The 10,189-nt window shown below is 38.5% G+C and overlaps 1 protein-coding gene across 1 annotated transcript; it reads left to right on the forward strand.

Annotated features, from left to right (window-relative positions):
* The first annotated feature begins 869 nt into the window (after positions 1 to 869).
* On the forward strand, positions 870 to 8,064 carry LOC124900661 (beta-defensin 109-like). The gene is made up of 2 exons (XM_047416496.1): positions 870 to 928; positions 7,860 to 8,064. Exons 1-2 carry the CDS (start codon positions 870 to 872, stop codon positions 8,062 to 8,064), a joined length of 264 nt encoding a protein of 87 aa, XP_047272452.1.
* The last annotated feature ends 2,125 nt before the right edge of the window (positions 8,065 to 10,189 follow it).

Consider the following 10,189-nt stretch of genomic DNA (forward strand, 5'->3'; position numbering starts at 1 on the left):
AAGTTTTATTTTACTTCATAGTAAGATAATGGGAGATAAGTGTTAAATGGGTTCATGAAGGAATGTTTGTAAAAGACACAATAATCCAAAATAGGTAATTGTTATATTAGTAGTTCCCTTTACTGGGGGGGAACAGATAAAAGAGTGTTAGGAAAAGCTTCATAAAGTGGATTATATAGAATGTGCTTTAAAAGAATTTGGTGTTTTATTGAGTGGGGAAAGAGCAATATGGGGAGTTATTGTTCAAGGGTTAAAGCTATACAAAATGATTCAATTACGTAGATAGGCTCCAAAACACAGTACGTTTAGTTAACAATGAGGTATTTTGTATTTAACAATTTGTGAAGAAGGTCGATCTTAGGGGTTCTGACAACAACAACAACAACAAAGGGACGTAGGAAACATTTGGAGGTGATGAATATATTATTACCTGGATATTGGTGTGGTAACAAGATAATATATATGTGCAAACTTGCTAAACTATATCCATTAATTATGTACTGTTTGTGTATAACAATTTTACTTCAGTTCCTACTATATTGCCTGGCAAACAATAGATGTATAAAGTGAGATCAATGATTATTGCATGTGCATGTCGAAAATAATAAAGAAAGCAGGTGACAATAAAGACATCCTGAATCTTTGGGAAATAAATAGCATTCACCTGCTTTCTCATCCATTGAGATATCACCACATTTATGTACTTGTGTGTCCCTGGAAATTTCCTGTGGGAGATTTAGTTATTCTCTTTTCGTTAGGCTCTACTGACCAAGAACAAATCACAGACTCAGAGAGCATCATAAAAAGGCCTAGACCCACGATGCCCAGAGACTCCAGCCTCAACCCACATTGATGCTGGCCCTTCAGCCATGAGACTCCATTTGCTTCTCCTTATTCTCCTTTTTTCAATTCTCTTATCCCCAGGTAAGTTGGTAGCTGATTACTATAAGGTTCTGCAGATGAGAAGGCTATATCCCTGGCCAGACAAGATCCTAGAATCAGTCCTGTGGGTTCAAGAACCTAATATTTACAGCTTCACTAGGATTATAATAGGGAAAACTAGAAAAGAGTCTCATTTAGCAGTAGCTCCTGTTGATAAGATTCCATCCATGTCTTTTGACCTAGTGAGTGGATATAATAATGGATGCTGCTGAAACCCAATCCTGTCGGATGAAACTGCCTACATGTAAACTTTCATGCCCCACCAAGCACCTCAAGATACAAAGTAAGGATACAACAGAACGTGACCTCAATGAGATGCCTTTGCGGGACATGGAAATTTACATGCAGGCAGTTAGATCTGACAGGATTGAATTTCTGTGGCATCTATTATTATATTCACTTACTAGGTCAAAAGAGATGGATGGAATCCTATCAATAGGAGCTACTGCTAACTGCGTGTTGACAAATCTGAAGGTTTTATTCGAAGAGACAAACAGAAAAATTATAATCCTAGAATAAGTGAAAATTATATGAGAGACTTTTCAAAATAAATTATGTTTTATGTGGTTATGAATAAAAAATGATTTGCAAAGTGAAACTGAAGAGTAGAAAGGAGAGTTAAAGGAACTTCAGACAAGTGAATTAATAAGCAGCAAAGACACCAAGAAGTGCTGCTCACGGTATATTACAGGTAACCACACAGAAGTGGGTAATATAACTTTCCATACAAAAATGGCTGAAATTTAATGGGCTAAGCATGCATTTTGGGGGCTTTTGGGAAAAAAAACAGCATAATAACTCTAAAGAAGATAAAGAGAAAATTATAAATACAAAATATAAATTAATGAAACAAATGAGAAAAAACTAGTATTTTAAAAAATGTTTTTCAAAAAGTTTAATACACTTTATAATAACCTGGCAACACTGAACAAGAGAAAATGAGAACATGCTTAAAATAACTATTGCAGGAATGAAAGGCTAATATCAAAACAGATGTTTCAGAGATCCAAATAGTTTTTAAATTTGTGTATTATATTCCCTCTTCGCTGTGTACTTGGGGATTTTCCTGTTGCAGTTCACTATATCATGACTGTGTCATCAATTTTGATGCTAGTAAATTATTACCACCAGCAAACAAATATGCTGTTGTTTTTCTGATTTAAGAAAAAGAATGTCCTTGCATTTCTTCTGATGCCAGCTGTCATCCCAATTTTTGCTCTACTTTTCAGCAAAACATCTTAAAATAGTTGTCCATACTCTGTGTCTTCAATTCCTCTCTTCTCATTGTTTCTTAAATATATCCCAATCAGGCTCTCTCCCCCTTTTTCGATCATGCTATTGACACCACTTTTGTCAAAGTTACGAATAATCCCTATATTGCTAGATCCAATGATCATTTTCCACTACAACTTTAATTGGCCTATTAGCAGCATTTGACACAGATAATCACTACCTTCTTCACAGTATACTTTCTTCAGTTGGCTTCCAGGACGGCACATTCACTTGATTCTCAGCCTGTCTCACTGGAGCTACCACTTCGGCTTCCTTTGTTTCTTCCTCATCTTTTGCATCACACCTCCTATAGGAGAGCTCGAGAGCTCAGTTCCTGGTCCTCTTCTCTTCTCCCTCACCACACACTCTTTGGAGGGGCTCAGCAAGTCTCATCCCTTTCAATTCTCCTTTTGGACCTCCTTTTGAACTCCAGGCTTATAATAAATTACCCAACTGCATAATGGTGTATCTACTTGGACACTTGATTTCAAAAGTAACATATATCCAAAACTGAACTCAAGATTTTCCCTCATAAACCTCTACATACAGATTTTTATCTTCTTGCAGAGTGCCATGGTCAGCATTGGAGCCTCTCTTAGCTTTCCTGTCCACTTTCATCCTCAGCAAGCCTCTATCTCTGCACCTCAAGAATCTCTCAGGGCTTCCATCCCTTGCCCAACCTCGGGCAGTAGCTGCCTCACACTCAGTGAAAGACCAGAGAATCTACTTCTCTCAGCTACCTGCCCTCCCCTGCCTTCAGACCTCATCAGGCCTCTCTTCTTATGCACCTGTGAGAACAGAGAGTGAAGGGGGTTTCTCTCAGCTCCCCAACCCACTCCCCAGTAACAGAGGGTTTACCGCGATTCTCACAGTGAGACCTTTACCTTGCTCTGACCTCAAATTGCAGCAGTTCCTACATGCCTGTCCCTCAAAAGTGTCTCAGGTAGTTCTCCTGCTCTCCATCTGATCTTACCTAGGAGCACCCAAGATAGGTCTTGAAAAAACCATTAGTGGGGCCGGGCGCGGTGGCTCACGCCTGTAATCCCAGCACTTTGGGAGGCCGAGGCACTGTAATCCCAGCACTTTGGGATCACGAGGTCAGTGGCTAACACGGTGAAACCCTGTCTCTACCAATACAAAAAAATTAGCAGGGTGTGGTGGCACGTGCCTGTAGTTCCAGCTACTCGGGAGGCTGAGGCAGGACAATCTCTTGAACCCTGGAGGCGGAGGTTGCAGTGAGCCGAGATCATGCCATTGCACTCTAGCCTGGGTGACAGAGTGAGACTCCGTCAAAAAAAAAAAAAAAAGGAAGAAAGAAAAGAGAAAGAAAGAAAGACAGAAAGAAAGAAAGAAGGAAAGAAGGAAAGAAAGAAAGAAAAGAAAGAAAGAAAGAAAGAAAGAAAGAAAGAAAGAAAGAAAGAAAGAAAGAAAGAAAGAAAAGAAAGAAAGAAAAGAAAAGCATTAAAGCATTAGTGAGTGAGTGAGTGTGTTTGGGCCCCTACTGCTGCTAAACTATCACAAGCCCACATTCAGCCTTTCAACATTTGCTTGAGGTTCACTTGTTTCCTTCTTATCTGCATCAAGGGCAGCTTACTCCTGCTTCTGCTGCTGCAACTCAGGTACACACAAATCATCTGTGGATCCGTTCTTTTTTCAGTAGGGCTTCATTACTCTGAATTTAAGTTAATTAGCTTTTTTTGAGACCTCAGCTCTGTCTTTTAAAATGAAATCTATGATCTATAGATTATCCAGCTTATTCTCTTTGTCAGGGCAAGAGCATTTTTCTATAACTTTCTAAATTCTAAACAAAAATAAAAGTTCACTTCTTTTCAGGATCCCCCCCATGTCAGAAAGTATTACTATTATCATCAGTTTAGTGATATTTATGGAATTCCAAGTTAACTCTGAGATCAGCTTTTGGGTTAAATTCTTTCTTCTTGATATATAGCCTTTGAAATTTTATTTGCTGCAGATCTTTTGATAGTGAACAATTTTAGTTTTTATCTGTCAATTTCATATCGTTATTTTTGTTCCTGAAAGACAGCATTACTGAGTACCCAATTGTATACTAACAGTTATTTTCTCTCCACATTTGTTGATACTAGTTTACTCATTTTTAGTTTTTGCTTTACTATAATAATCAGATAAATATTATTTCATTATAAATCGTCCTTTTTTCAATGTTTGTGTGGTCTGGTGTTTGGTTTTAATGTTTTATAATTTATAATTTAACTAATGTGAATTTATTTTTATATCATCTGTTAGAAATACGTTCTTTGAATCAATGGATTTATACTTTTTCCTAATTTCTTTTTGAGAATCTCTTGAAACGGTGAATCCTCTTACACTTCTCTCCCCCCATATTTGAATTAAATAAATGTTAGACCTTGTGTTTCCATGCTACATTCTGAGTATATCATTTAAGCATTTTTTTCTTTACTAATTATCCTGTTACCTATATCTAATATATCATTAATAACTTGCATTTATTTTTAATTTTTTTTTATTCAGACCTGCCTTTTTGTTTTGTTTTGTTTTTTTGGAGACAGAGTCTCACTCTGTTGCCCAGGCTGGAATGCAGTGGTGCAATCTTGGCTCACTGCAACCTCCACCTCCCGGGTTCAAGTGATTCTCCTGCCTCAGCCTCCTGAGTAGCTGGGACTACAGGTGCCACCACCATGTTCAGCTAATTTATATATATATATATACATTTTTTTTTTAGTAGAGACAAGTTTTCACCATCTTGGGCATGCTGTTCTTGAACTCCTGACCTCGTGATCCACCCGCCTCAGCCTCTCAAAGTGCTGCAATTACAGGCATGAGCCACCACGCCCAGCCAGACCTGTCCATTTTTTCTATCATCTATATTGTTTTACTATTGTTTTTACATCTTTGTAATAGTAGATTGTTTCTTTAAACAATCGATACACAGGTGCTTAATTATTTCTCCACATTGACAATTTCAATACATTTAGTTTTCAAGGATTTAAATGTGCTATTCATTTCACTAACTTTTATTCATGGTGTCTTGCTTACCTGATCATTTTTAATACTGAACTCATTGCTCATCCTTAATCTGCCATCATTCTACGGTCTGAAATGAGAATGCTATTATCCAAAGTTTCTCTGTGAAACTGACTCAATGCTTAATCTCAATATAGAAGTTCCAGGATTAACGAACTGGAATTTCTGATGGCCCAAGAGTCAGTAGTACCACCAATAGCATTGCTGACAATAGCAGATCTTCCCAGAAGATCTGGGAAACTCTCACCCCCCTCCATCAGCTAGCCAATACAAAGTGCCCAGGGCTCAAGCTCCAGTTCACAGACTATTTTTGTGTTTGAAAGAGGAGGTATTTTAAGAACATCCCTAATCATTTTCAAGGATAGAATTGTTTCAAAGAGATCCTCTAAAATGTATTTGTTCGATAGCAGCAGTCATTTGAGAGCAGCTAACTTGCAATCGTGGCCAAAAGCCTAAATCTTTCTTTCATTCTAATCACACCTATTTTGTATCTTTTGGAGATATCTCAGATTCAGATGCATTCATACTATTCTATGATTTGGGACACTTCTATAGATTCTTCAAAATGTTACAACATTCCAATGGTATTTTGGGAGGTATAGAAGGAGAGGAAAAACAATGGGCTCAAGTCTCCCCGACTTCTCTTCTTACAACATATTTCATTGTCCAAAACTTTTAGAACTATATTAATACAACATTGACAGTGGGTATTCTTCTTTTCCTTCTGATTTTAATAGGACTGAAGGAAATGTTTTGCTATGAAATTGCTATATGGGTTGTATTCAGAAAAATTTTGACTTTGTAAAGGCAATATTCTTCTCATTATTTTAAAATGTTTACCAGGATTCACAGTATTATTTTCAATTCTCCCCGTTCAAAGGCATATTTAAATAACTTGATGAAAGGGGAATATTATATATGTTAATCTGCTGTGGAAACAGAAAAAAACACCATCAAATTGTATTCTAGAAACTTTGTACACCAATTACACCATCTTTTTTCATCTAAGACATTCAATTATTCCACAGGTGGGAGCACATGAATTAGCATCATTTACTACTTGTAGTTTTCACTACAGACTTTCAGACTTATTTTGCCTAAAGGAAATAGAATGCTTCTAGCTGGGTTTAAAAGCTACAAATAAACAGAGGAAATATACACTATTTTGAAAGTGCCACTTGAGTGTTATGTATGTATTTCAATATTATGTTGCTAATTTTAATTGTTCAAGGTTAAAGAGCTTAAACCTCCTCCTCATGCATTCCTGAATCATCCATTACTCCCACACATACATTGTTTGATAGAGCATAAACCTAAGTAAGTAAAGATGTGGCAAAATGAAAAAAAATAAAATAATGTTATGCCATTCTCATCTAGAATGGCATCAGTAGACAGATGTGAATAAAAGTAATGTGATTATAATTTTAAAAATCATATTTAATAGGATCCATTTATTATTAAATGAACATTAAATTACTTAATGTATAATCAATCTTTAACACAATGAAAACTCTTAATTCAGAGTGAGAACAAAATGAAGGTATTAACTGTTTTCTTCCTAATCCTTGCTTTAGTTGTTATTTCCACCAGACCGTCACTTTATTTGAAGGATATTGTAATAGCACAAAGCCATCAGCTTTACCATTAGAGAGATCTTCATTAAATTATCTTTGTTGTAATAAAGGTCATCTGGAGGAAATACTGGTCTGAATACAATAATAAATGTAAAGCTTTTTAGTATTTTTCACTTTTAGACACAAATTGAAAGAATCATTTATAATGTCAAAAACACTTTTTTCTAACTAATCTATTCTATGACTAAGACACTATTACCAATTAAAGTAGATAGATCAAATCTAAGTGTGGAGAGAAAAAGTAATTTCTACTTATGTTTAAACAGATGAAAGCGTGAATAAATTGAAAGCCTGAAATATTAGCTTGGGGGAATAAAGCCACTTTTGGGGAACAGGAGCAGGATACACAAGCCTTTAGCTCTACACCCTCCCCCCAAGAAAAAAATATATAGATAGTTATGTACAAACCAAAATAGCCCTGGGTGTGTTCAAGGGACCATTTAAGAAACTATGGCAACACAGTGAAGCCAAAAAAAAAAAAAAAAAAAGAGAGAGAGAGAGAAAGAGAGAGTGAAAGAAAAAAAAAATAGCCATATAGAAAAAACAGCTGCTGAAATCAGCATACCTGAGATGCCAGAAACATCTTTTTTGGCTAGAAACAAAAGCAGAAAGGGACTATCTGTATCAGCCACAAGGTGGAACCACCAGGGCCCTCAGTAACCCACTCTGGCAGAAGACACTGGCATTTTTTGCCACTGGAGTAAGCAACATCCCTTTCTGACAGAAAACCCAGAGAAAAAGATGAAGATGTACCATCTCCTCTCACATCCCTTTTCCCCACCAAAAATGCAGTGACTGTTGGGACAAACCAGGATTGGAACTGCCACCTTTCTTAAACTGCATGTGTCTTTGACATATGAGCAGCAACCATTTCAAGAGCTCCCACATAAAAACGTTAATACTAAATTTATTCTGTTACTTAAGAGTGTTTATGGATTTACATTCCATTTGTGGACTAACTATCTCACTGGATCTTCTTTCCTGCAGTAAGGGTGGTTTGGGTCCTGCGGAAGGTCATTGTCTCAATTTGTCTGGTGTTTGCCGAAGAGATGTCTGCAAAGTAGTAGAAGATCAAATTGGTGCCTGCCGAAGAAAGATGAAGTGCTGTAGAGCATGGTGGATTTTAATGCCAATTCCAACACCACTTATCATGTCAGATTATCAAGAACCCCTTAAACCTAAGTTGAAATGAAACTGAGACAAAATAAAAATACATCAAAAGTGAAGTTATTTGCATCTAAGAATATTAAAATATACATATTAAGTACTTCCATCTTGATAACCATCTTGCATTTTCACTTATCAACATAAATGAATAAATCCTAATTTCAAATATACCCAAGTACTATTTCTTTGTGAGTCATTAACAGATCTTAACAAAACTTTTAAAAATGAGAAAACTGTTACTTTTGTTTTCCAAGATGGTGGATTGATGGTGGATTGAAGGCATTGTTAGTCTGCCTCTTGCACTTGGAAAGACAAAATGGTGTGTAGAGACTCACACTGTGAACTTTCTTTCAAGAAGCAACACAGGAATTTAACAGGAAAATTGAAATAAGCCACAGACCATTTGAAAGAAACAGCAGGATGCAGCTTACACCATAAGCTAGGCAGAAAATTGTAAGTTTCCAGGGTGTGACAGGAGGGTAAACTGACTCTAAGATATACACTTCCACTGGGAAACCTATCAATCCAGGCCGTGAGGGAAGGCCTTAACCCTACTCAGCGCTGGAGCTGATTTAGGGAAAAGTGGTGAGTATATGAGGAGTGGCATTGGGATGTGCTTTGAATCTCCAGCACATTCCCCGTTTCTGGTAGAATGGAGGGAAGCCAGTTCTGATTCTACCTCAGACAGGACCTCCTAGAAGTCTGCCAGCTAAGTCAGATGGTGGTCACAGGTTGAGACAACCTCCCAACTGAAATGTGTGATATAATCTTGACTGGGGACAAACTCCCCAGGCCGGAACTGAGAGGTGAGTGGGAAGTGTGCTGCAGCAGCAAGCACAGGAGCTGGGGGCCCCTGCTCTGCAGGTGGATCAGGAAGGGTGTGGCCTGAAGGTTGCAGTTGCTGTCTCCATAGGGGAGACTTATGGTATGGGTCAGTTTTGAGTTCTGAGCTCAGACTTCTTGAAACTTAGCTAGCTACTCCCAGTGGAACACTGTGGGTGTGAGACCTGCCTTGCCAAGTGTGTGGGAGCTGGATGGGGCTTACTACCAAGCTGCTACTCCCCATTCTTCATATGGACTCTCCTTGTACAGAGGCAGAGACAGCTTCACTTCTCTCTGGAAAATTACTCCAGTGGCCCAAGAACTGCCTTCCAATTCCCACTGGAGCCACTGCTTGTCCCACACATAGAGAGCCAGAGCATCACCTTACCTGGCCTAGTTCCCAACTGGCTTTGCTCAACCACCTACCCTGGTAGATTAACACAAATAACAGAAGAAACTTTTAGAAGCTCTATGGCTTCACCTATTTCCTGAGACACCAGAGTGCCTCCCCTGTGTAACATAAGGCAAGTCCAAATCTCACCACTACCACCACAGCTGGCAGTCTTTTGGAAGCACCACCTCCTGGCTGAAGGCCTACTGACAGTCCTTTACAGCATCTGCAGGTAGAATAACATAGCACCCAGGAAGGAGAAAAGTTGTGAGTGACCACAACTGTTACCATTGCTTGTATCATTCTGGCTAAGCAGGAGGCCCTGAGTCTCTCCATGTGATGAGTTCATTACTACTACAACTGGCATTTGAGAAATCCAATACACAACACACTAGGACTATTTATAACCAAGGAATCTTTCAGAGTCTACATCACTCCCCTGCCATCCCCATCTGATCAGCTGATGATACACACTGCTGTGAGACTTGAAGACAGATTATATCACTGGATCCATTGCAGACATTCTTGAGCATCAGCCTGGTGTGCGGCAGCCCGACTGGGTAGCTAGACCCAGAGAAGCAGCAGCAGCATATGCAGTAATCTGAATTTCAGGGCCTCCTACTCTGAGGAAAGAGGAAGCACACCACATCAAGTGAGCACCCTGGGGACAAAATAATCTAGATGGCCTTGAGTCCCAGAATATTCCACTTGTGGGAAGTTGTTTGGTGGTTTGTTTGTTTTTGTTTTTTTCCAGCAGAGGAACATGTGCATGCTAGGCTCAGCGAGGAAAGTCTGTAGCTATATCTCAACTATCAGGCAGCCTTGATGCTCAAGAAGAGTCTTGGAGAATGGACACTTATTTTCCATATCATACACTACTGCAGACACAATAGTACTGTAATCACAGCCAGTGTACTGAGGTGAGTGGCCATAAAAC

The sequence above is a fragment of the Homo sapiens genome, chromosome 4 (genome assembly GCF_000001405.40).
Source record: "Homo sapiens chromosome 4, GRCh38.p14 Primary Assembly".
Lineage (NCBI taxonomy): Eukaryota > Metazoa > Chordata > Mammalia > Primates > Hominidae > Homo > Homo sapiens.